General features: G+C 40.3%; 1 long non-coding RNA gene across 1 annotated transcript in view; it reads left to right on the top strand.

Annotated features, from left to right (window-relative positions):
- LINC02456 (long intergenic non-protein coding RNA 2456) overlaps positions 1 to 27932 on the top strand; it is a 432422-nt gene that overhangs the window by 62898 nt on the left and 341592 nt on the right. The window contains exon 6 of the long non-coding RNA XR_007063427.1: positions 6412 to 6461. This is a non-coding gene — a long non-coding RNA (long intergenic non-protein coding RNA 2456). The remainder of the gene's footprint in view (positions 1 to 6411; positions 6462 to 27932) is intronic.

Here is a 27932-nt window from a genome sequence, read left to right on the forward strand (position 1 = left end):
CTAATGGTGAGGTGAAGGAAGAAGTCATAGCTTCCATTTCTCTTTTATCGTATTACCAAATATTGAGGTGATAAATATTTACCAAAAAATCTGACAGTTGTATAGGGCCAACTTGGTTTATTATATCAATTTGCAATATCGGTAAGTACCTACTAAGTTTGGGGCACTATAACATGATAAAATCCTTGTCTACAGAGAGCTTTTAGGTGGATTTAAAAATGCAGTGTTACCATTTCTATTTATAAAGTGTGAAAACAAAGTGGATGCCAGATCACACACAAGCCAGCAGAGAATGTCTCCCAGTCTTGTTTACAGTACTGGGATTGTGGTCAAGGTGAATACACACAGTCCTTTACTCTCTTATCAGAGAGTGAAGGTTTAAAGAGAAACCAACAAAAGTGTCCAGGTACTTTTTTTTTTTCTTCAGACAGGGTCTCAGCTAGGCTGGAGTATAGTGGCACGATCACAGCTGACTGCAGCCTTGATCTCCTGGGCTCAAGCAATCCTCCCACCTCAGGCTCCTGAGTAGCTGGGACTACAGACGTGCCACCACACCTGGCTATTGTTTTAATTTTTTTGTAGAGACCAGGTCTCACTATGCTGCCCAGTCTGGTCTTGTACTCCTGGGCTCAAGTGATCTTCCCACCTTGGCCTCCTAAAGTTCTTGGATTACAGACCTCAAACACCATGTCCAGCCTCCAGGTACTTTTTAACTGTAGTGATTATGTGGCATTTTGATGTAATGGCTCTAAAATATTGCCCCTGAATTCTTGGAAACTTCTTCCTTGTAGAGGTTGGGTGTGGTCTATGTCCTTTTCCTTAAAGCTGGGTTTTTGACTACTTGACCAATAGTACATGGCAGAAGTGTTGCTGTGGCAGTTTCTTAAGATACAGGTCTGGAAACTGGCACTTGATCTGGTAAGGTCCGAACTATATACCAAGAAACTGGCTATTTCCACTTCCTATCTCTGGGATATTTGCTGTTAGAACCTAGTCTCTATTCTGTGAGGAAGCCTAGGCCACCTCATGGAGAGGAACCAATAGGCAGCATCAACTTACCATTCATGAAAGTAAGCCATCTTGGAGGTGGGTCATCCAACCCCAGTTAGGCCACATGGAGCAGAGATAAGCTGTCCTGCTGAGACCTGCCAAAATGGCAAATTCTTAAATAATTATTGCTGTTTAAGTCATGAAATTTTGGGGTAGCTTAATATACAGCAATAGAAACCTGGACACCTAGTAATCTGTTTGTGAGAAGAGACTATCAGATGCTTCTCAGTACTATTTTTCCTGTTAGTTGGTGACTCATTCCTTTGTAGACAGTCTATAGATTTCTTTTGTGTTTACTCCCTCTTGGGGACTTCCCACTTGTGCCTGCCTCCTGTTTAGCAGGAATCTGTAGCAGACAAATCCCAAGCTGAAGCAGGGATTAGGGGTGAGCTTCTGTGAGCAGTGGAAGTTTGCACAACCTAACAAAGAGGTAATTTCTGCAGGGGTGCTTTTGGCAAGAGAGATGCCCATATGTTGGATTGCATAATTCTTTTTTCTTCCCAGTTGGGGGTCATCAGGTCATCTGACTGCTAATTCTTCAGGTATGGACTTTTCTTCCAGCTCTGTGAATCTGTTCTAAAGGGTAGAGTCTGAGATGAGAATCTAGAGACACAAATTGTTGCTGTGTCACCAACTGTGTGAGCTCAATCAAGCCAATTGACATTACTAGGAACATAATGGGATTAAGATACTTAGAAGCCCTACACATTGAACATGTTATGATATTATGACCCCAGATGTAATGTAAGCAAATACAACAAAATTCTGATTTTCACCAAGGTGACTACTTGATGCATTTTTTGAATTACCAAATGTTAAATTTGTTAATTTTTGTTATTTTAGTGTTCCTAATTAGTCTACCTAGTGAATAACCATTGTCTAGGCCTCAATTGCTTCATCCATAAAATAGATAAGTAGATGGTTTGATCTGTTCGATTTCTTTTGTATCTAAATTTTGATTCTGCAATCACTTTTATTCCCTTTCCTTTGTTTGGTATGTTTTTTTTTCTCTTTGCTATAGCTTTATTGAGGTATAATTGACAAGCAATAAACTGAAAAATCTAAAGTGTACAATTTGAGAATTTTTGACATACTTTTACACCGATGAGCATTACCTAATCAAAACAGTAAACATCTCCATCATCTCCACAAATTTCTTTGTGTTCTTCCCTTTCCCTTTTCTTACCCCAGCTTCTAGGCAACTATTGAGCTGCTGTGTATCACTATAGATTAGTTTGCACTTTACAGAATTTTAGATAAATGGAATTCTAGAGTATGTATTCTTTTTTGTCTGACTTCTTTCACTCAGCATAATTGATTTGAGATACAGACATGTTGTTGCATGTACCAGTAGTTCATTTTTTTAAGTTGCTGAGCAGCATTCCATTGTATGGATATGCCACAATCTGTTTTTCCATTTACCTGCTGATGGACATTTGGGTTGTTTCCAGTTTGGGGCTATTAGGGATAAAGCTGCTGTGAACATTCACATATAAATACTTACATAGACACATGATTTTATTTTTCTTGGGTAAATAAATACCTATGAGTGGAATGGTTGGATCATATGGTAATTACATGTTTAATTTTTAAAGAAATGGCCACACTTTTCAAAAGTCGTGGAACAATTTTACTTTCCCACTGGTAGTCTGTGAGAGTTCTAGTTTCTCCATATTCTCACCAACATTTTGTATGGTCAGTTTTTAAAGTTTAGCCATTCTAATAAGCATGTAGTGGTATCTCATTGTGTCTTAAATGTACATTCTTGTGGTAACTAATAGTGTTAAAAATCTTTTCATCTGCTTATTGGCTGATATGGTTTGGCTCTGTATCCCCACCCAAATCTCATCTTGAATTGTAATCTCTGTGTATTGGGGGAGGGGCCTGGCATGAGGTGACTGAATCATGGCAGTAGACTTCCCCCTTGCTGTTCTTGTGGTAGTGAGTTCTCGTGAGATTTGATGGTTTAAAAGTGTGTGGCAGTTCCTCCACACTCACTCTCTCCTGCTTCACCATGGGAAGAAGGTATGCCTTGCTTCCCCTTCAGCTTGTGCCATGATTTTAAGTTTCCTGAGGCCTCCCAGTCATGCTTCCTATTAAGCCCATGGAACTGTGAGTCAATTAAACTTATGTTCTTAATAAATTACCCAGTGTCCGGTAGTTCTTTATAGCAGTGTGAAAATGAACTAATACATTTGCCATCTGTATATCTTCTTTGGTGAAGTGTCTGTCACAATATTTTTTCTAGTTCTTAAAAATTATTACTGATTTTTGAGAGTTTAAAAAATATATTGTGCATAAAAGTTGTTAGATACATAATTTGCAAATATTTTCTTGCAGTCTGACTTATATTTTAATTCTATTAATATTTGGTATGTTCTTAAAGAGGAAAAAATCTTAACATGTGAAATATTTTACATACTCTTAAGTTCAAAGAGCAGCATAGGTGGATCTGGGAAGAAAAAGACATTAGCAAACCATTCAATGGTTTGGCATTGAATGCCTTTGTGTAAGATTTTCTTTAGTTAGCTTTTATTAAGTGACTTTTGTGTATAAAGTATTGCAGTATAAGTAAACATTGTAGTAAGTAATGTTTTAGCTTGAATTCTGGGCTTTATGCATGTTTTTCAGAACAGCCACCAATTTAGACTCATGGTTTCTCTCAGTATTATGCCTGGTCTACAAAGAGTCTAAGCTAAAACACCCATGTGTGATATCTATATCTCCCACATCATCATACACCAATCTATTTCTATTTCTATATATGTATGTATAACTTGCAAAAAATCCAACTTATATTCATATTCAACTTACATCTTTGGTCAAATATAACCATCAGGCAAACTGTTGTGACCTCACAGGTATAATAAACTAAATGATAATATAAAATATGTATCACAAAGCTTGTGCACTTTACTTCACAGTAGAAACATGGATCTGCCTTCAGGTACTTATGTAGACAATTATTTATAAAGCAAGATAGATTATAACCAGTGAGGCCACACTGACAGCATGTGGAAAAACAGTTCACAACAGTGGGAAGAGAGACAGAGAAAATACAGACCCCAAAACTAGAATGCAAAGAAGTCTGGATATATTTTGTATTTGTATAGAAAGCCTTTTAAGTATGAATTTCCCAGAGGACATGGAGTCATGAGATTTGTAATAATTTATCTCAGAAATGCTTGGAATAAATTATAAGTTCTTAAAGGGAATAAGGTTTTGAAGAATGTATAGTTAACTCCTTGATAATATAATTTATATTATGATATGATCAGAAGCTATAAAAAGTATAAAACTTGCCAAAGAAGGGAGTGAGACTGCTGAATGAAGTTAAAGTAGAGGGTTTATCTTGAAAATTCTTCTGCTTTAAATATTCTGAATATGAAATAGAAGGATATGGTTAATTGTCAGTGGGAGAGAAAGGAACAGGTATTGAATGGACCTCTGTATTGTAAGAGTAAAAGAGAAATTCCCAACCAACCAATTATTAAACCTCCTAATATTAAGAATTTATATCTAGCATTTGAAAAATTTGATCTAGAAATTTAAGAACAGGTAGAATTTCCTTCATCATCCCTGTTATTTCCTCTCTTAGTGCTTATAAGTACAAACTCCAGAACAGTCTAGTTTGAGTTTGAGTTTCAACATCATCAGTGGGTTGGCTTCCACAAACCCAAGTTTTCTAACCTACAGAATGGAACTAAAATCCCCACCTGAAGAGGTGGTGGTGAGGATTATAGGAGATGCAGGTAAAGGGCTTAGTATAGTACCTGGCCCAGGGTTTTAAACACTTAGTAAATATAAAATATTACAATTATTGTTTATTCTAGGGAGAAATTTGAAGGACAAGCAGCACTGAAAAATTCAAGCAAAAACATTAGCAGTCAATATCCCATAATTTGAAATTAAGGATTAAAATTAGGTATTATTTTCATCTGTTTTTGTTTCTCTTATTTTAATAAAAAAGCTGTGGAAGCCCCCAGAAATAACTGCCAGCTTTTGGAGGGTGTCTCTGGATGTTTTGTGTGTTCCATCTGGGCTGCAGCCATTATTCTACCTACTTGACAGACGATGAGGTCATGGAGGCCAAGTGTTCTTCACGACGACACCCAGGTCAAAGGCAGAGTTAAAGTACATCCCAGGTCACATAACTCATTCTCTGTTCAAGAATCTTTCCTAATCCCTGGTGCCATTTGGGAACTGTTTCAAAGGCATTCCAACCTCAGAATCATGCCAGTGCACTGGTTATCAATTATTTTGTTGATCCTTTAGCAAATCCTCAAACTGATTTTTCTGCCCTCCTGAGACACAAATCACAAAGCTGACCTTAAGTGCTTTGGCATCCCCCTCCAGTCCCGAGGCACACAAAAAAGCAGTGCAGGGTTGGTGATTTATTGTTTTCCCACGCAGGTCACGCTCAAGCCCAGACAGATAGAGAAGATTTGTCTTTAACGAGAGAAATGCACCATTACTTGGTCATAAATTCAACTTAATGGTAATTTTAGTAGGGCAGCTTGCCCAGGGTTTGTAGAAACACAAATCAAAAATCCCAAATTCCATGCATATCCTCCTAGAAACTCTTTTGGCAACTCCCTTCCATTTGCTTTTTAAGGAAATCAATTTCCTTAGTTATGGTCCCTAGTTGCTTAGGGTGGTTTTGCACAGAGTCTAGAATCACTGTGGCAGCAGAGAGGGGAGTGGGTGGCATGCTGCTTGAACTATTTTTGCCAAGCATTCGGCCTTGACTTCAGTTGTCAAGGAGGCACAAGTGAGCTGACACACAGATTCGGTAGACAGTCCCAAAAAAGTAGTATGTGGTGAAAATGTTCAGATGACTCTGTCTAAGGAAAAATTTTTTTCAAATCCTCCTGTCCTTGACTGATTCCAAACTGACAAATTCTGGTCATTATGAATCTCAGGTCACATAACAAGCTCTGAATCCTTACAGAGTTGGTTTAGTCCAAGCTGGCATAGAAATATCTATGGAGTATATTCAGGCACAAGGCTACCAGACACCCCTCCAGACTCTTAGAAGTAGACTCAAACATACCATCTTGTATGCATGCCATATCCTGTGCTCCCTATGATCATAGCAACTAGAAGACCTTATTGTCCTTAATTACTTATGCGTGTTCCCTTATAGCACACTGTGTGCTCCCAGGTGTATGGCAATGCCATACCTGAATTTGTTTCTCCAGTTTTTAACCCAGTGCCTGACATGTGACAGATGCACAGTTAGCATTGGTTGAATGAACAGAAGTATGAATGAATAACGTTCATGCCTTTCCAGTAAGGTCTGACTTTTAAGTTGGGGAACCTGGGAAATGGCCATTCCTTCTTCTTCTTTTTTTTTTTCAGGATGATATACATGGCCAGGTGAAGACAGTAGAGAGAAAACAGAACTGAAAGTAAGTGTCTCCCATAAGTAGGGTAATTTGTACTTTATTTACTTACACCAAAATTTACAGAATGCCAATACAGTCAAAATATAGTGTCAGGTACTGAAGAATATTTAACTAGGAATCAAAGAACTCAAGATCTCTTACTCTTTAGATCTAAGATCCAATGTATAATGCTACCCTAAATTACTTTATTCTTAATAGCATCACTCTATCCAGAGAAAATACACGACATTCTAGCTTCTCTGATTTGGTTTTGCAGATGGGTCTACCTATAACCTTCCCCTCAGGGGTAGAGAGGAGTTTAGCTGGCAGTTTATTTCTGTTTCTACTCACACGCCTAGCATATGAGAAGGCTGGGATTAGAGCCAAAGGAGAAGCCTGGAACACCCAGGTGATGGCATGTTTGGATCCTTATAATTCTCTATGAAAGAGTGAAGAGACTCAAAGGCTATGGCTCTCCAGCTTGAGTGGGCATCAGAATCACCTGGAAGGCTTCCTAAGACACATTATTTCTGGGCCCCCACCCCCAGAGTTCCTGAGTCAGTAGGTTTAAGTTCAGATTCCAGAAGTTGCATTCCTAGGAAGTCCCCAAGCAATGCAAATGCTACTGGTTTAGGACCAGCTGAACTAAGGTAAGCCCTGACACTTTCCACCAAATCAAATTCTCTCATTCCCTCATATAATGCCACAAGATGATTCCATTTGTATGGTTTTGTCCAGGTAGCCTTGGACTCAAATAAAAGAATCAGTTGGAATTACTTATTTCATAGCTGTTTTCCACTGATCTGGGGCAAATTTTTTGTGCCAGATACCTTCCTTTGTGGTTTAACCTGTATTTATGGGCTGCCTCTCTTGTCATTAGTTGGAAATAAAAACAATGATAGTATCAATGAAAGCAACCTGCAAAAGTATTGTTAACATAGAGATGCATACACATAAACTGTTTATTCATGCCATTGGGCTTGTGTGGATAACTGTGTAAAATAATGAATTTAACATTAGCCTTTGGATTTTTTCTCCTTTCCTTCATCTGCTCTGACTAGGAGAATAATTGTAGCTTCAGTCTAAATGGAGAAATATTAGCCAGGTCTTTCTGTCTTCTAGATAGGTCCTGTAGTCCAGCCAAGCTATCTGGATTTCTGATTAGACAGAAATCCATTTTTATAAAGAGAAAAAAATGTATTTTCTCAAGAATTATTTTTAGTTATTTTCTCTCTTGTGATGAAAGGCTTATCTAAATAGCCCAAGCTTCATTCAAGATTCTTCCCCACTCTTTGTTGTCACCCAGCCTTCCCTGACCTCACTCACCCTCAGACAGCCAGGGATTTAAAAATACGTTGGAAGATTTTAATGGTCTCTGCAGAGTAGAATTACATTCTTCTGTGTAACATTTGGACACCAAGCAGAGAGATAGCACAGTCTGTCTAGCTCTTTTGTAATTATTTCATGGTATTGTTTTAATTGTGGCATGGCTTAATCACTGGCTGTGCACAGATTATGCCACATACTTAAAATAATTACAGGGATTTGGTAAGATAATGCTGTGAATTCATTTAATGCTTCTTTTCCAATAGACTCCACACTCTTAAAAGGAGAGAGAAGCAAAGAAGGACAGTCAATCAATGCCAGCATTGGTCATTTTCTGCACCTTGTGAGGACTGACCAGGATGATATATGCACATTTTTTTATTTCAGTCATCTTCCACCTGCCCAAGGAGGCATTTTATCTAGTACTCAAAGATCCTGAAACTAGTGTGACACCCTGTTAAGATCCCTTTACCAGCTAACACTTAATATAGGTTCACAACTAGTAACCTAGCCAGGCCTGTGTGAACACATTAGTTTTAAATCCAATGGTTTGTCTATGTAACTGTATTAGGGTTCTCTAAAGGGACAGAACTAATAGGATAGGTTAATATATGAAAGTTTATTAAGAGTTTATTAAGGAGTATTGACTCACATGATCATAAGGTGAAGTCCCACAATAGGCTGTCTGCAAGCTGAGGAGCCAGGAAGCAATTCCAAGTCCCAAAACTTTAAAAGTAGGGAAGCTGATAGTGCAGCCTTCAGCCTGTGGCCAAAGGCCTCAGAGCCCCTGGCAAATCAGTGATGTAAGTCCAAGAGTCCAAAAGCTGAAGAACTTGGGAGTCCGATGTTTGAGGGCAGGAAGCATCCAGCACAGGGGAAAGATGGAGGCCAGAAGATTCTGCCAGTTTAGTCCTTCCACATTCCTCTGCCTGCTTTTATCCTAGCCATGTTGGCAGCCGATTAGATGGTGCCCACCCAGATTGAGAGTGGGTCTGCCTTTCTTAGTCCACTAACTCAAATGTTAATCTCTTTTGGCAGCACCCTCACTGACACACCCAGAAACAATACTTCACATTTTTCAATCCAATCAAGTTGACACTCAACATTAACTATCACAGTAACTGATGACTGCTATCTCCATTAGCAGTTCTTTAGCTTCAGAAGAGTGTAATCTGGTTATAAATCTTTGTTAGAATTACTTCGTTGGTTAATTTTATGTGTCAACTTGACTGGCCTAAGCAACGCCCAGATAGCTGGTAGAACATTTGTCCTGGGTGTGCCTGTGAGAGTATTTCTGGAAGACACTACCATTTGAATCATCAGACTGAGAAAAGAAGATACACTCTTGCCAATGTGGGTGAGCATCGTCCAATCCATTGAGAGCCAAATAGAAAAAAAAAGGTGGGGCAAGGTGAATTTAATCTCTTTTCTTGAGCTGGGACGTCCAACTCCTCCTGCCCTTGGGTCTTAGAGTTCTTATTTCTTGGGCTTTTGGACTTCAAGACTTAAAACAATGCCCCCACTCACCACAAGGTTCTCAGTTTTATGGCCTTGGACTTGGAGTTATACCATCATTTCCTCTGATCTCAGGCCTTCATGCTTGGATTGACTTCTGCCACTGGATTTCCTGGGTCTCCCACTTGTAGATGGCATATCATGGGACTTCTTAGCCTCTGTAATTTCATGAGCCAATGCCTGCAATAAATATCCTCTTATATCTATCTATCTGTCTATCTATCTATCTATCTATCTATCTATCTATCCATCCATCCATCTTCTGTTGGTGCTATTTCTCTGGAGAACTCTGGCTAATACAACTATCATGCAATTTGTATGGTTTATTGAATACTGATTTAATCATTCATTCAACAGATATTTATCTTGTGCCTGCTATGTGCCAAGTGTGTTCTAAACTCTAGCAGTGAACAAGCTAAGCAAAATTCCTACTTCGTGGCACTCGTGTTTGAGATGTAGGGGAGACAGACAGTAAACCAACAACAAAATAACAATTTCAGATATGGTTAGTCATATGAGTAACATAAAGCAGGGTTGGGGAATAGAGAGTGGCTAGAGTGTGGAGATTTTAGATAGAAGATAGCATTTGAACAGAGTCCTGGTGATGAGAAGGAATCAGACTTGTGAAGGTTTGGGGGAAGGGAATTTTAGGCAGAAGGAAGGCAAAGTGTAAGGGGCTGAATCCATGGTAAGCTTAGTGGTTCTGCGAACAGTGAACAGTGCAGAGGGGCTGGAGCAGAGCAAGTAAGCAGTAGAGTTGTTGGAAGAGGAGGAGGCTGAGGCCATGTCAAAGGGTTCTGCCCCCATGGCAATAAGGTTAGATTTTTATGTAATGGGATGTCTTAGAGGGTTTAGATTGCCTGGTTGATATTTTTGAAAGATCAGTCTGGTTGATGAGATAAGATTTATAGGCAAGAATGAAAGTAGAAAGGGCCATTTAGGAAGCTATTGTACTGGCCCAGTTATCCTCGGCTTGGATTAGGATGGGAGTGGTAGAGAGGTTAGAAATATTTTGGAGCTAGAACTCACAAGATTTTCTAATAGATAGTGTCTGGGGATTAAAGGAATGAATAGAATCAAAACTGATTCCTAGATTTCTGGCTTAAGCAACTGGGGAATGGTGGAACCATTAACTGAGAGGGAGAAAACTAGGGCATGCAAAATTTTGTTTAGATTTGTTGAGTTTGAGATAAGTATTATACATCCAAGTGGGAGTTTAGTAGACAGTTGAAAATATAAATCTAGGGTTCAGGGGATAGGTCAGAGGTGGAGATATATGTGTAGGATTCCTTACTGTATACATGTAATAGTTATTACCTAAGCTACATCTTGGCTGAGTGATGAGATGAGGTGATGCAAACAAAGTATACATCATTGTCCTGCCCTACTGGAGTATATACTTGTAAAATCTTATCTTTTTAAAATGATGTACTTAATGAATAATAGAAGGAAACATAGAGTAGGTTTTGAATACAATATGTTTTTGTTCATTTGTTGTTTAATAGCAAATAATCCAAAATTTAAATATTTAAATAAGAATTATCTTTCAAGGTAGCCTCTTGGGAGGGCTAGCCAATCAGCCCAACAATTTCTTAGAGCTTTCTTGGAGTGATTGGGATTCCCTTTTAGATTTGGTCATGCCACAAGAAAGTTAGTCTACCTTTTCATAAAACTATATCTCATTTTTTGTTAAAAAATAGGACTTGCTTGAAAGTTCACCTGTTGTTGGACTTGTGACAACAAGAAAAATAAAAAAAAAATACGTCACCGAGGAATATGACTTGGTACCCATATTAGTCCATTCTCCTGCTGCTATAAGGATATACATGAGACTGGGTGATTCATAAAGGACAGATGCTTAATTGACTCACAATTGCAGGGCTAGGGAGGCCTCAGGAAACTTACAATCATGGCAGAAGGGGAAGCAAACATGTCCTTCTTCACATGGCAGCAGGAAAGAGAAGAATGAGAGCCAAGCAAAGGGGGAAGCTCCTTATAAAACCATTAAATCTCATACTCGTAAGAACTCACTCACTGTCATGAGAATAGCACAGGGGAAACCTCCCCCATGATTCAGTTACCTCCCACTGGATCCCTCCCATGGCATGTGGGAATTACGGGAACTACAATTCAATGCCCTTCCAACAGTCCCCCAAAGTCTTACCTCATTCCAGCATTAACTCAAAAGTCCAAGTCCAAAGGCTCATCTGAGACAAGGCAAGTCCCTTCTACCTATGAGGCTGCAAAATCAAAAGCAAGTTAGTTATTTCCTAGATACAATGGGGCTACAGATGTTGGCAAATACCCCCTTTCCAAATGGGAGAAATTGGCCAAGACAAAGGGGCCACTGTCTCCATACAAGTCTGAAATCCAATAGGGCAGTCATTAAATCTTAAAGCTCCAAAATGATTTCCTTTGACTCCATGTCTCACATCGAGGTTACGCTGATGCAAGAGATGGACTCCCATGGCCTTGAAGAGCTCTGCCCCTATGGCTTTTCACGGTACAGCCCCCTTCCTGGCTGCTTTCATGGGTTGGCATTGAGTGCCTTTGGCTTTTCCAGGTGCACAGTGCAAGCTGTCAGTGGATCTACCATTCTAGGGTCTGGAGAACAGTGACCCTCTTTTCACAGCTCCACTAGGCAGTGCCCCAGTGGGGACTGTGTGTGGGGGCTCCAACCCTACATTTCCCTTCTACACTGCCCTAGCAGAGGTTCTCCATGAGGGCTCCACCCCTGTAGCAAACTTCTGCCTGGACATTCAGGCATTTCCATACACCCTCTGAAATGTAGGCGTAGGTTCCCAAACCTCAGTTCTTATCTCCTGCACATACACAGGGCCAAGACCATGTAGAAGCTGCTAGGGCTTGGGCTTGCATCCTCTGAAGCAATGACTCAAGCTGTGCATTGGCCCCTCTTAGACATGACTGGAGCCGAAGCAGTGGGAATGCAGGCCACCATGTCCTGAACAGGAGGGCCCTGGGCCTGATCCACTAAAGCATTTTTCCCTCCTAGGCCTCCAGGTCTGTGATGGAAGGGGCTGCCATGAAGGTCTCTGACATGTCCTGGAGATATTTTTCCCATTGTCTTAGTGGTTAACATTCTGCTACTTGTTATTTAGGCAAATCTCTGCAGCAGGCTTGAATTTCTCCCCAGAAAATGGGGTTTTCTTTTCTGTAGCATCGTCAGCCTGCAAATTTTTCAGACTTTTATGCTCTGCTTCCTCTTGAATGCTTTGCCACTTAGAAATTTTTTCCACCTGATACCCTAAGCCATTGCTTTCAAGTTCAAAGTTCCACATATCTCTAAGGCAGTCTCTTTGCTAAAGCATAGCAAGAGTCACCTTTGTTCCAGCACCCAAGAAGTTTCTCATCTCTATCTGAGACAATCTCATCCTGGACTTCATTGTCCTTATCACTGTCAGCATTTTGGTCAAAGCCATTTAACAAGTCTCTAGGAAGTTCCAAACTTTCCCACATCTTTCTGTCTTCTGAGCCCTTTAAGTCTCCAGGAAGTTCCAAACTTTCCCACATTTTCCTGTCCTTTTCTGACCCTTCTCAATGATTCCAATTTCTTCCTGTTACCCAGTTCCAAAATCACTTCCACATTTTGGGATATCTTTACAGCAGTGCCACACTCTCTGTGGTACCAATTTACTATATTAGTCTGTAATAAGGACATACCCAGGACTCGATAATTTATAATGAAGAGGTTGAATTGACTCACAGTTCCATAGGGGTGGGGAGGCCTCAGGAAACTTATAATCATGGCAGAAGGGGAAGCAAACACGTCCTTCACATGGCAGCAGGAAGGAGAAGAATGAGAGTGACAAAAAGGGGGAAGCTCCTTATAAAACTATCAGATCTCATAAGAACTTAATCACTATCATCAGAATATCATGGGAGAAACTGCCCCCATAATTCAATACCTCCCACTGGATTCCTCCCATGACATGTGGAGATTATGAGAACTATAATTCAAGATGAGTTTTGGGTGGGGATACAGCCAAACCATGTCAGTACCACTGATGATTTTAAATGGACTTTGTCGCTTGCCTTGGTGGTTCATAGAAGAGTGTCTGGATATGTTTTGAGCAATAAAGAAATGATTGGAAAAAGTACACAATCTCCCATGTGATAACTTTGAAGGAAACACTGTTTATTTGCTTTTAGAGCTTTAGTTTTATTCATTCACTTATCCAGTCATGAAAAAAATATTTATTATCTGACATGTGCCTGGTGGTATTCTAGGCAGTGAAAAGGCAGTTACAAGTAGTGAAAAGAAAAAAACAATACTAATTATTAAGTCTTCATCTTTGGCCTAAAATGTTAGTATCTCTTAGCCTTAAAAAATCCAGTGTTTTGCAAATGGCTCAATCAATCAATCAATCAATTTATTGAACAAACAAAAACATTCAAATGAAGGAATAAAATTTAACTTTACCTTTGCCTTCACTATCTGTCTTCCTCTTTGTATTATATCCCCAGAAACCTCATTCCCACCCCTCTGCTTTTGAAGTCTAAAGTAATCTGTTCCTGTATGCTGTAACATCTCCTTCAAACATGAAACACTCTTTTATTTTTCTTTCTCCCCCATTTTGCTGCTGGGATATGTCAACAAATCTCTGGGCTAGGACGGTAATATACTAATTAATTCATAGTCAGGTATAAATGATTTGACGCTGATTTACTAAGCCCTAAACTTTTATTTTAACAACAGGACAGGACTTAAATATATCTCTATTGATGGAAATGATAGCATTTGCAAGTAGTAAAATGATATATTTCTTGGCTGAGAGCCTTCTCCATGTCTCTGAAATCACAGCCTATACAATCTACTTAAATTGCCAATTATAATTCCTAGGAACAAAAACCTTTCAGTTTCTCCCTGATGCTACTATTTCTTTTTCTTTTTAAGAGATACTTTGCAGCGCTCTCATGTCATGTAATATATTAGCAAGTAATCCTCATAGTTGTGCTAGAGGAATGGGCCAAATTTTGCCTTGGCCTTTGTTTAGCTGGATGGTACCTCCACACTGTACTGGGGCTCTCCATCACCATAGCTCCTTCAGTCTTGTGCAACATATTATTACAATCAGCTTCACTTGTTCCCAGTTCTTTCAGCATCTGTAGTGGCAGCTGGCGCATCTCCCACTTCATCAGGAAGTGCATTCAAGGGTATCCGGCTAGAAAGTTCCCCCAGCAAGCATTTCTTCATATTGCAAAATGAAGAAGCAAGGTTTCACTTGTAGGTATTCATATCTGGGGTCAAGTAAGGTAGAATAAAGTTAGGGGGATCTTCCATCATCAAAGTGTCTTCATCATGGGTGAGGCCAGTAAAAAATATCCTCTTTTTTTTCTAGTAGACTGGTATTCCTTTGATCCTGGTTTTAATCAGAAAAGGAATGAACAGAATTATGCGATTGGCACTGCCCTTGTTTGTTTTCTAAATTCTCAAAGGGAATTGCTCTCATACCATGGGTTTCCCCCAAGATCTACAATTCTGGTTACCAAGGTTCACTTTTGTGTGGGGTTTCCTGCATTTTGCCTTTGGACACCCAAGTCTATCTTTCCTGCAATTAACAGGAAAATTCCATTGTGCCAATTGTGGTTTTGCTTTTTCTTCTTGAGAAAACAACCTTTATTGCCCTTCACCTGCCTTTGCGTCCAGTATTCTGTACAAATGTGTCATCGCATGACAAAGAGGGTGGCAATGAGGACCAGCATGTGTCAAAAGTGTTTGAAAACTGTTCTAGTTAATTAGAAAGAGCCATGCTCTAGAAAGTTCAACTCACGTGAAAATTACTGGCTCGGAGAACTAACTTATCTTCACCATTTTCTCTCTGGGGAAGAGCTTTGGGACAACCCCCTCCAAGGTCATTCATTTTTGTCTTTGTAATTTCATAGTATGCCATGTGTCTGGTAATCAGTATTAGAGCCAGAAGTGTTGCTAGACTTCAACAATCTTTGGCAGTTATTGAGATAGATGTGTCTCTTGGAGAAAGATTAATTGGAGTCTGAAATGTTTAAGGAAGCTAACAATTATTGAGTGCTTGTTCTGTGCCAGGCAATATGCTAGGAATTTCTGCATATGCTATCTCATGTCACAGAATCTCAATTTTTCTGCTTATGAGTTGGAATATGGGATTTTATTTAAGTCTTCCTTTTAGCAATTTTGTCTGAAGTGTTGCCTATGTAATTTTACACTTGAAGGAAAGTGTATTCAGTGGTTAAAAAGAGCCACAGAGGTAGCAAATAATTTGGAATTCGGCTTGTTCATTAAGTACACAAATAAATCCAAAGTACACAAACAAATTCACATTACAGAGTTAGAGCTTGTATTAGGCCATTCTTACATTGCTATAAAGAAATAATGAGACAGGGTAATTTACAAAAAAATAAGTTTGATTGGCTCACAGTTCTGCAGGCTGTACAGGAACTGCAGGCTGCATAGTGGCATCTGCTTCTCAGGAGGCTTCAAGAAGCTTCCAATCATGGCACATGGTGAAAGCAGGAACAAGAGAAAGAGAGGAGAGGTGTTACACACTTTTAAATGACCCAGATATCATGAGAACTCACCCACTATCGTGAGGACAATACCAAGGGGATGTTACTAAACCATTCATAAGAAATCCACCCCTATGAGCCAATCACCTCCCAGCAAGCCCTACCTCCAATACTGGGGATTACATTTGAATATAAGGTTTGGGTGGGGACAACATCCAAACTCTTATTAGGGCTAGTCAACACCACTAGAGTCAAGTGAGCTCACAGGACAATTTTGTGAATTTGGTACTAAAGCAGTCATTAGAACTATTTATCAATATTTCCAGACTTTCTCTTCCTGCAGTGTTCTCAAGCCATATAATGTATTAGCAAGTGATCCTCATATTAGACCACAATTCCCCAAATCCTTGAAATTAGGTGTGGCCATGTAACTTGCTTTGGCCAATGAAATGTGAGCAGAATTGATGTACGTCTCTTCAGGTAGAAGCCTTTAGGTTCAGCGGAGGAGACATCTTCCCTTCCTCCAGCCATGGTGACCAACAACATTCCAGAGGATGCAGGTCTGCAAGCCTGAGTCCTGAGTGATGACAATGTGAAGACAAACTCACTACCAACCCAAAGTACCATGAGCGAGAAATAAATAAACCTCTGTTATAAGTCATAGAGATTTGGGGATTGTTTGTTAATGTAGCACAAACTAGATTGTGCTAACTCATACAGGAACCATCCAGCCAGAAAGCCAAAAAGTCCTTCCTAAATGTATTTGCTTTCATTACCGGAGAGGTTTAACCAGAGGTTTGAATTGACCAAATTCTTGTGATGATTATACAGTTTGGTAGTTAAGAGGTCTCTGCAGTCAGGCTGTCACCATAGGTACATCAGCCCTGCTGCTTTCTACCTGTGAAAACTTGAATGTGTTACTTGATCCATCTGGGTCTCAATTTCCTCATCTGAAAAATAGGTATAATAGTAATACTGACCTCCTAGAGCTATTGTAAGGTGAAATAAGATAATGTACAGAAAGCACATGTCAGTTTGTAAGTTTTCTGTGATTAATGTTAGCTGTCATTCCATTATCCAGTACCAGCACTCACTTTATACAAGTCTATCTTTTTGCAGTTTAATGGTTTGGATAACTGATCTTTCAAGTCCCTCCCAGCTCTGAAACTATGAGTCCATGAAATATCTTGCTTTTTGGTACCTAAATTTCCTTAGAGTAGCTTTAAATTGTAGTTTGAGTTTTGTGGCGCATGTGGGAACTGATGTTAGCAGAGTTTCTCTGGCTTAAGAAATCCATCTACAAAAAATCAGTTTTCTCTGCCTCAATTATCTCTCGCTTGTCCTACTACATCATTCCTTGAAGTTTTTCCAGAATTTTTTGACTTTGTAGTTGCTTGCTTCTTTTTCATTCTGAAATACATTTTTTCCTTTTGGCTTTTGACACTGAACAACATAAATTTTCCTTTTAATGGACTTGCCTATGTGTATGGTAAATAAAAGCAGGAATATGTGAGGAACAATTTCCCAATAGATTATGGAGGTTTTTGGTGGCGTTTTAAGGTTTTATGACACTGAAGAGAGGAAAGGAGAAAAACTTGTTCTTAGAAACATATCAACTTTAACATTACACCGAAACATTTCATACACACATATTTGCAGGAATATTCTGATTTGCTGTGTATGTTTTCCAGTGTTCTCTCTAGGAAAGAATGCACTAAGATCTGAAAAAAGTAGTTATGATTGGTTAAAAATGTTTTGTTAAAATAGAAAAAAGTGTAGCCTTAAGTATTTTGCTGGCATAGTAGGAACCAATAACTATTGCTTTGAAATGCAGCTGTGCATTGTGAAGCTGTGAACAAGACTTTTCAAGGAAAATAGCATTGTCTAGGATGGAGGAAGAGGCCAGGACCTATAGTTGTGTCAGATGTGAGCAGGTAGTGCCAAAGTTATTTGTAGAAAAGATCATGATGGTTGAGTTCCTGGGACAATAACCTGAGAGATCAGGGAACACGAAAAGGTAGAGTCAGGAAAATCAAGCTTGGGGAATGGGGATGGGGTATGAAAGGGAGAAAAACTGAGGCAGGAAGAGGGATGAGATCAAAGAGGATACAGAATAAATGCAGAGCTACAGATAAAGCCCTCAGGACCAAAAGTCAGAGATCCCAGTTGTTTAATCCAGAGACAGGAAAAAGGACATCCTCTAAAAAGACCTAGGTTATGGGCTGAAGGGAGAAGATAGATAACAGGAAAGAACCAGGTTTCTCTTGGGACCCAGAGAGCAAGACCAGCCCTAACTTCCCCCCTTCCTTTCTCTGTTCTAACACTTCTCATAAAACAATAGTTTAACTTGATGCTAGAATGTGGAGATGAAACAAACTCTCTGAAAAGAGAGAGAACCTCAGAGTCCCCAAGCCAGGAGACTGACAGAGAAGCCCTGACAGAAAGACTAGCATAATGATGGGAATTGCAGTGACAGGCCATGGCCGGAAGGGATTGTCTCATGCTTTACAAGTATTGTTTTATAGAATAAGTGAGTGTGTGCAATAGGAAGCATTGAACTTGAGCTGGGCTTACCAGTAGCATGGCCTTCCACTCCACTTCTGGAAAGCTAACACCCTAAAATTCCCTCCCAGGTGGGAAAGTGCCTTGCCTAGAGTTCCTGCCCAACAAATAATGTATGAGAGAGACCACTCCAGAGGAAGGTAGTCAGATGTGAGCTGGGGTAGGGAGAAGGGGCAGGAGAGGTATATTGTGCTGGAAAGCAAGTGGGAAGAAGAGCAATTTCCTCTTTTCCCTCTTCCAACCCTCAGATAAGGTGAATCATAGGGAACACTGATTGGTAAATCCATCAACCTAAGTAGGTTCCTTTCACCATGTAATGGCATTGTGTAATTTGCTGCAATATTTCCATTGTCTAGGCTATACTAGAGGGTCACTGATAATCCAAAGCAAATAAAAGAAGAGTTTGGGAAATAATTGATGTTAGACAAGGCTCCAGAATCCTATGACAATGCAATGTCTTGAATGCCTGCCTATTTTTCCCTTGTAATCTTTATGAATCCCAATGGAATCAGATCTAATTCAGCCTTAGGATACTTTAATTTGTCCAATTTGGGTTATTAGACCCTAAGAATTCCTTGACTTACCTCCTTTCTCCATTCTTTGGAGGGAGGGATTCCTAAATGTTTTCTAGAAGGATAGTCTTGGATGCTGTTACCTCAAACTTGGGTCCGCTACTTGTCTTGGTTTTGTTTTGTGCTGCAATAACAGAATAGCACAGACTAGATCCCTTATAATGAATAGAAATTTATTTGGCTTACATTTCTGGAGGCTGAGAAGTCCAAGACTGAGAGGCCACACCTGGTGAGGGCCTTCTTGCTGTGTTATAAAATGGCAGGAAGCATCACACAGGTGGGAGAGAGAGAGAGAAAGAGAGAGGAAGAAGAAGGAAGAAGGAAGAAGAAGCAGAAACAGAAGAAGAAAAGAAGAAGCAGAAGAAGAAGAAGAAGAGGAGGAGGAGGAGGACGGAGCAGAAGAAAACGACGAAGGAAGGAAGGAGAAGAAGGAGAAGAAAGGAGAGGAGAGGGCTAATTTTTTTAAATAAAAAATTAGCAACCTCTAATATAACCTCTATTCTCATGAATGGATTAATGCTGCCATCGCAGTAGCATTAATCCATTCATGAGAGTAGAGCCCTCAAGACCTAATTACCTCTTAAAAGTCTCATCTCTTAACACTGTTGCATTGGGAATTAAGTTTCTAACATATAAACTTCTGGGGACCCATTCAAACTGTATTACCACTCATTAGCTGTATGTCCTTAGGAAATTGCCTTAATCACCTAAATTTCAGTTTCTTCATCTGTAAATGGGGTACCACCTCCTTCTTATAGAGAAGTTGTATAAACTCATGACCCAGTAGATTTGAGAAGTACTAAGGTTACATATGGCACCCTTCTCTCAGGATGCTGAGTGCCTAGTATGTCTTCTTTGCCCAAATAATCCTAGGGGATCTTTCCCCAGAAGAAAGCAAGCCAATTTTGTGTGAAGGTCTCAAGGACTTGGCTCCAGAGACAAAGTTTCTCCTAAATAACCAAACTAGTATGTGCAATGAATTGTCCATTGTTTCTTTCATCTCCCAGCTTCAAATGTTTTCTTGAAAGTCTGGCTGCCTGACAGCTTAAGCTGCTAGCCTCTTCATTAGTCCAACAGAGGACTGGGTATGAGAATTGGTGAAAATGGGCATGACCAGTACACATGTTTTAGGTGAATATGATGGTTAATACTGAGTGTCAACTTGATTGGATTGAAGGATGCAGAGTTTTGTTCCTAGGTGTGTCTGTGAGGGTGCTGCCAAAGGAGATTAACATTTGATCAGTGGACTGGGAAAGGCAGACCCACCCTTAATCTGAGTGGGCACAATCTAATCAGCTGCCAGTCTGGCCAGAATAAAAAGCAGGCAGAAGAACGTGAAAAGATTAGAATGGCTTAGCCTCCCAGCCTACATCTTTCTCCCATGCTGGATGCTGCCTGCCTTCGAACTTTGGTCTCAAAGTTCTTCAGCTTTGGGACTTGGACTGGCTTCCTTGCTCCTCAACTTGCACATGGCCTGTTGTGGGACCTTGTGATTGTGTAAGTTAATACTACTTAATAAACTCCCCTCTGTATATATGTCTATCCTATTACTTCTGTCCCTCTAGAGAACGCTGACTAATATAGCAAGTTATACCTTGCTGAGGTCAACTTAAAGGAAAGAAGTCTCACCAAAGGCTAGGGATGATATAAAATAGGAGACATTCACTGAGTGTAGATTCTTAGGACCCACAAGTACAAAAAGATGACACAGTTAGGTTCTTCCATGACCTTCAATCTCATCACCCCTGAACCTAGTGTGGTCATGGTGGCATCAGTGTTCATTGCTGCTTTAGTCACAGGTTATGAAATAATCACTAGATATCACACATGTGTGACTCCGCAATGATGACTTGTGTTCCAGCCATGAGACCTGAGACAGAGTACGTCCAGCCTGACCATGGCAACCCCAGGCTTGCAGTATTCGTGCTGAAGCCTGCTCTGAATCAGATAGTTGAGTTCAATAGTGTTTATGGGCAACATAGAGAGACTCCTGTGCCTTCTGCTGGACCCTTTGGAGAGCTAATGCCATCTCTGTTGCAGGGAGCTATGTTTCCCAGGTTCCATTACCAACTGGTTTTCAGGTAGGTTTGGCTAATGAGAGGCACTGCAGAGCAGATGAACCAGAGCATTTCTCCTCCTTTTTGCTTTAAATGAGGCTTCCAGCAGTGGCTACTTTTGTTTGTTTATGAAATTTTAGCTCTTATTGGTTAACCCCATTCTTTGTGTTTCCAGCTCCTATGGAGTGATCCCTGCCATGGTTTTAACTCTCACCAAATGGCTTTAGTTTCTGGTTCTGGTAATGCTGTATTCTCTCTTTGTCCTTCCAGCTCTAGAGGTGGTGACCACTTTTGGCTGTTTAGCTCTTTCATCATTTATGTAACCAATTCCCTGTATTAAATTCTTTCTGCTTAAAATGCCTCAGTTGGTTTCTGTTTTTCTGACTAGACTTTCACTGTTACATGTTTCTCAGTCATTGCTACTTCATCTTCATTTTGGATTGAAGTCTCCCATGCAAGTTTTGCAGTCTCCCAAGCCACAAACTGGGAAACCAGGTAATGATTCCTTCAGTCCTTAGGTTTCTCTGAACATACCCTAGGTTTCTTTCACTGAACTCTTTGGGCTTTTGACCCTATGAAGGAGACAGGGTGCTTTTTATTTCCAAGTGACCTACCTTATATCAACACCAGTCAAGATTCCTGAGATTGTTCTCCCATCCAATGGTTAATTTCTTTTAGAATAGAAAAGCTGCTCTTAGTTTATCACTCATTTTCTCCTTTCCTTTGTTTTATGTTATAAACTCTATGTTATCTCTCTAGACTTTACTGTTGGAGAAAAAAGCCTTCCAGTAATACAAATAAACACAAACACAAAGACAAAACAGGGATGGATGCAGAACTTCAAGGATCACATAGATCTATTGAAGTGATGAGTGGCAGCAACAGCATTACTTCAAATTTCAAGGGACAGCAATGGCTGCAGGGCAATTAGCAATTCCCAGTCATGGGAGTGTGGATCATCACACCCACTTAGTAGTGGTAACAGTGGTGTCTTTATCAACTAGGGTTTTGTAGCATGATTTTGAACATGATCCCTTAATGTATAGCATCGAAGCCTGATTTGCTGACTTTCCTAGAGATTTTTTGAGCTACTCAATATAATTTTTTGGTAGATCATTACAAATTTGTTTCTGTAATTAAAAATAGTTACAAAATTGAAATTCTGAACAATGTTTTCTGATTACAAAACCATACATTCCGACGTGTCCAGGTGTACTTTAATCTGATGTGCCCTCATAATGAATCTACAATATTTGAGTTCCATGTAACATTGTGGTTCCCCACAATTATTAGGTGATTAATGTAATCTACCCTTTGAAGGGCTTTGTCCTCAGCTTTGTCAATGGTGCTCAGTGGACTTGTTAGTCAAGTGGCCATGGTGGCAGAAAGTGACATCCTAGCTTAACTATGTGAGCTTCCCTTCACCAAGGGTTTCTTGACATCATCAATTTGCCAGCTCTGGTGACAAACACTGACACTGCCATCTGATACCATTCCAAGGATACTGGTCAGTCACATGGTGGCTGGTGAGCCATATTTAACTCCTTCTTTTGGGGAGGAGGAAGCACTATACCGTAACTAAAATAAGCACTATTTGGATTTGGATTTACTTTCCTTTCCTCCCCCACCTTGCTTCTGCCAAAGCTATGATTTGTAGATAATCTAGATTCCTTGTTCACTATCACAGTATCCCACCCAATGTTGCTTCTCACCAAGAAACTTTTTTGGGAGAGGAAGCCAACAGGCTGACACACATGAAAATTCATGTTCTTATAAACTCTCTGTCCTGGAAGCAACTGGCTTTACAAAACAGTGGAATGACTGAGGTAAGACTCAGTTATGATGCCAACTTGAAGTTGAAATCTTGAAAGGTTGGGGTACCATTTTGGAGGTGAGACGTGTTTTCCTGTGTTTGATACATGATGAAGGCTCTTGCTGAAAAGATAAATCCAGGGACCAAGGTAAGGAAATGGGAATGCCATTTCTCATGATCACATTAATATTACACCTGTGACTCTGGACAATAAATGTATAGGATTTTAGTAGTTGGAGGAGAAATGCTTTAACCACAGGAAGCAACAGATACTGCCATCCTGCTATTTCAGGCTCCTTTTACTACTTGGCAGGGAAAATATGGGTCATAGTATTGGCTGGGGTGACTGATCCTGTTAGCAAAGATTTCTGATACATATTTTGATACACAGTGGGATCAGAGAGGAATATAAATGAATCTAAAGGAACCTTTTAGGATTCCCCTGTCTGGTGGTAAGTTAAGGGAAGATATAGCAATTCTATATAGGCAGGAACCACTGAAAACTCAGATCCCTCAGGAGTCAAGTTTTGGGTCACTTCACAATAGAAACAGTGGCCATTTGAAGAGAAAATAAAAGGAACGTAGATGAGTAGTTGAGGGTGGAAATAATAAATTTTCACTATGGTCTTTTTACCAGGGAAGCCATGCTTTGAGAGAAGACATGAAAAGAGCAGGACATATTTTTATTTAACCAGTTCTGTTACTGAGCACATAAAATCATAAAGCAAACCCTCCAAAGATTTTCTTCTGCAACCAGAATAAAATCCAAACTTATTTGAATTTATTGAGGCTTACAAAATACTATGTAAATTGGCACTTGCCTACCTCTCTCACTCTATCTCATTCCACTTATCCAATTGCCTGCCATGTTTAAGCCTATGGGTAAAGCTCATTTCAGCCTCAAGGATTTGCTCTAGCTGTTCCCTCCACCTGGAATGTTTCCCCCAACATATCCAGATGGCTTAATCCCTCACTTCATTTGGCTCTCTGCTCAAATGCTCTTGTTAGTGAAACCTTCCCTTCGCACCCTATATAAACAGCACTACCCCATGTTCTCTCTCTTCCCCTTATCCATGATTTAGTTTCCATGTTAGAACTGGTAACTGTATTACATATTAGACATGTATGTGTTTCTTATCTGTCCCTCTCCAGTGGGATATAATCTCCACGAAGAGAGAGACTTTTTGTTGGTTGTTGAATCCTCAGAGCCTAGAACTGTAGAGTTGCTCAAGTATTTGTTGAATACATGATTTAATTAATTTATGACAGAGGAAAGATTTGTTAACAGATTCTAGAAAGCCTTGGAAATCAGACTGAGATGTTTGGAACCTTAACATTTTGAATAAATTAGTAAGGAGTAAAATAGAAGCTATTTTAGAGAGTTTTTGAAATTGCTCAGGGACCTTTGCTGTCTTCCAAGTTCTTTGGTCATTCAGAATTGTGCCAATGACTTCCGCTGTTCTGGGGATGCTTTTATGTTGATCCCTATTCTTCAATAAGTGCCCCCAACCCTCCCTGCTGGTTACCCTTGTTTCCTTTTCCAGCTAGCAACAGACCTCTCTCCCTCTTTCCCATTTTTTGTTTAACATTTTCTTCTCTAAGTGGTATATTTTGATTATTCAGCAGCTGCTTCATGCAGATGGTGGGAAGGGGCCTTGTATATTTGTTATTGCCCAGTATCCTGATGAATATGCCATTTGCTTCTGTGTATCAGCTTTTGAAGGCTATTCTAAAGCTTCTGCTTCGTACTTTCATTATCAGAATGTACAGGCTGCTGCTCAGATGGCTGGTTCTAGTGAAATAGATATAGTATGGAGTTAGCTCTTTACTATCCAGCAGGGCAGTTGAGGTGGCCTTCTTTTTCCACTTGTTCTGTCCAAATCATTCTGCTTCAAATCATTGCTGCTTCAAGGTTTGTCTGGAAACTCCTGCTTTTTTTTCAGGCCTTGCTGGTCTTCTCCTTGAGCTCCTTTCACATGTATAGCTTATATCTCACATCTAAGCCCTTAATTATATGCTGTTACACATTATTCCTTCAGGGCTTCAGACACTCTTCTGCCTTCATGTAGTTATAAGTTCACACATTCCCATCATCAACACATTTCTTCATCAGTAATCATCAGTATTAGAGAGCTTGACATGCCCCACTCCATTCTATTTGAAAACCTCTGCCTATTATTTCATTTGTCTGAATTATCTTCCTCAATTAGATTGTAAATTCTTGCATCCTTGATTGTATCTCATGTTTCTATAGTATTCTTCTAGTTATGGTTTGATGCCTAGAATAGTACTGGGCACATAATGGATGCTTTTTTCTACAAGAATTAATTGATATTTTTTATTGAGTCCTAATTGATTTTTTTTCACTGAAATATAGTCACCATGTGTATATATATTTGATGTTTTTACCTCCATTCCAAACTTTCAGGACAGCTGTGCTAGTTCTAATCTGTTCTTAGATTGATCCTATGACTATGCAATGTGACTACAAGGAAAATCCAGTTTTGGTTCTGTAAGAATTAACTCCATTCCTAAGATAGCAAAGACCAGGCCTACCTTCCCTGCCACCACTCAGGCCTCTTCCAGCCTGACCCCCAACATCCAAGAAAGCAGGAGTGCAGCTGAAGACAGGGTACAACCATGTGAGCAATCAATTGATTGATAATTAATGAATCAATCAATCATGCCTATATCATAAAACCCCAATAAAAACTCTGGACACTGAGCTGAGTTCCCCAAGATGGTAATACTCTGTATTGTTAAACATCAATGCTGGAAAGATAATTTGTACTGAGGACAATAGAAGCTTCTCATTTGGAATCCTAAACTCTATTCTGTGTGTCTTTTCTTTTCGCTGGTCCTAATCCTTTTCTGTAATAAATCGTAGCTGTGAGTATAATAGTTTTCAGTGAGTTCTATGAATCTTTCTAAATAATTATCAAATCTGAGGTAGTTTAGGGACTTCCCCAAACTCGCAGTTAGTGTCAAAACTTAGGGCAGTCTGGGAGATTGTTCCCACTTTGGCTAACTCCAGGTAATGAAACACCTACAACCCCCCCGCCTTTCCTGGGTAATGACAACTTATCCAGTTGACTGGAATGACAACTTTACACTGTTGTAGCTTGAGAGAGACAGGACTGGATTTTCTTTGTGTTCTAGTTTATTTTCTCACCCACTCCGTTAGTGCTGGCTTCATTTCTCAGCTTCCAGACCCTCTCTGCATAATATGCCTCATCTTGTACTCATCCCTGCCTCAGCTCCAGGCTTCATGGAGGTAGGATAGATAGGAAGACCTGCAATGCAGCTGGTGCAGCTCACTATTAAGGCTCTCTAAAAGTCAGAAGTGGCCTCCTGGGAACCAGGAATGACCCTTGGCCACTGTCCCACAAACTTACAACTTCCCTCACTTCCAATCACACCTGGGACTTAGTACCACCAGGACAGATCATTAGGTGCCTGAGGATGCTGGGTTTCCTCTGCATTAAGAACCTTTTCTGCCTCTTCCCAGTACTTCCTGATGTTGGCTTAGCCCCATGTATTAGTCCATTCTCATGCTGTTAATAAAGACATACCCAGGACTGGGTAATTTATAAAGGAAAAATGTTTAATTGACTCACAGTTCAGCATGTCTGGGAAGGTCTTAGGAAATGTACAATCATAGTGGAAGGAGAAGCAAACACATCCTTTTTCACATGGTGGTAACAAGAAGAAGTGCCCAACAAAAAGGGGGAAAATCCCCTTATAAAATTATCAGATCTCATGAGAACTCACTCACTATCACGAGAACAGCTTGGGGGTAACTGCCCCTATGATTCAATTACCTCCTACTGGGTCCCTCCTATGACACATGGGGATTATGGGAACTCAATTCAAGATGAGGACATTCAAGATGAGGATATGGGAACTCAATTCAAGATGGGGACACAACCAAACCCTATTATTCCACCCTGGCCCCTACCAAATCTCATGGCTTCACATTTCAAAACACAATCATGCCCTTCCAACAGTCCCCCAAAGTCTTACCTCATTCCAGCATTAACTCAAAAGTCCAAGTCCAAAGTCTCATCTGAGACAAGGCAAGTTCCTTCCACCTGTGAGCCCGTAAAATCAAAAACAAGTTAGTTACTTCTCAGATACAGTGGGGGTACAGGCATTGGCTAAATACACCCATTCCAAATGGGAGAAATTGGCCAGAAAAAAGGGGCTACAGGCCCCATGCAAGTCTGAAATCCAATAGGGCAGTCATTAAATCTTAAAGTTCCAAAACGATATCCTTTGACTCCATGTCTCACATCCAGGGCATGCTGTTGCACAGGTGGGCTCCCACAGCCTTGGGCAGCTCTGCCTCTGTGGCTTTGCAGGGTATAGCCCCCCTCCCTGCTGCCTTCACAGCTGGCATTGAGTGTCTGTTGCTTTTCTAGGTGCATGGTGCAAGCTGTTGGTGGATCTACAATTTTGGGGTCTGGAGGATGGTGGCTGTCTTTTCACAGCTCCACTAGGCAGTGCCCCATTGGGGACTCTGTGTTGGGGCTCTGACCTCACATTTCCCTTCTGCCTGCCCTAGCAGAGGTTCTCCCTGAGGGCTCTGCCCCTGCAGCAAACTTCTGCCTGGACATGCAGGTATTTCCATACATCCTCAGAAATCTAGGCAGAGATTTCCAAACCTCAATTCTTGACTTCTGTGCACCTGCAGGCTCAACACCATATGGAAGCTGCCAAGGCTTGGAGCTTGCACTTTATGAAGCCATGATCCAAGCTGTACCTTGGTCCCTTTTAGCCATGGCTGGAGCTGAAGCTGCTGTGACACAGGACACCATGTCCCAAGGCTGCACAGAGGAGGGGGGCCCTGAGCCTGGCCCATGAAACTATTTTTCCCTCCTAGGCTTCCAGGCCTGTGAAGGGAGGGGCCTTTGCAAAGGTCTTGGACATACCCTGGAGACATTTTCCCCGTTATCTTGGTGATTAACGTTCTGCACCTTGTTACTTAGGCAAATTTCTCCAGCAGGCTTGAATTTCTCCCCAGAAAATGGGTTTTTCTTTTCTATCGTATTGTCAGCCTGCAAATTTTCCAAACTTTTATGCTGTGCTTTCTCTCGAATGTTTTGCCACTTAGAAATTTCTTCTGCCAGATACCCTAAGCCCTCTC

The sequence above is a fragment of the Homo sapiens genome, chromosome 12, assembly GCF_000001405.40.
Source record: "Homo sapiens chromosome 12, GRCh38.p14 Primary Assembly".
Lineage (NCBI taxonomy): Eukaryota > Metazoa > Chordata > Mammalia > Primates > Hominidae > Homo > Homo sapiens.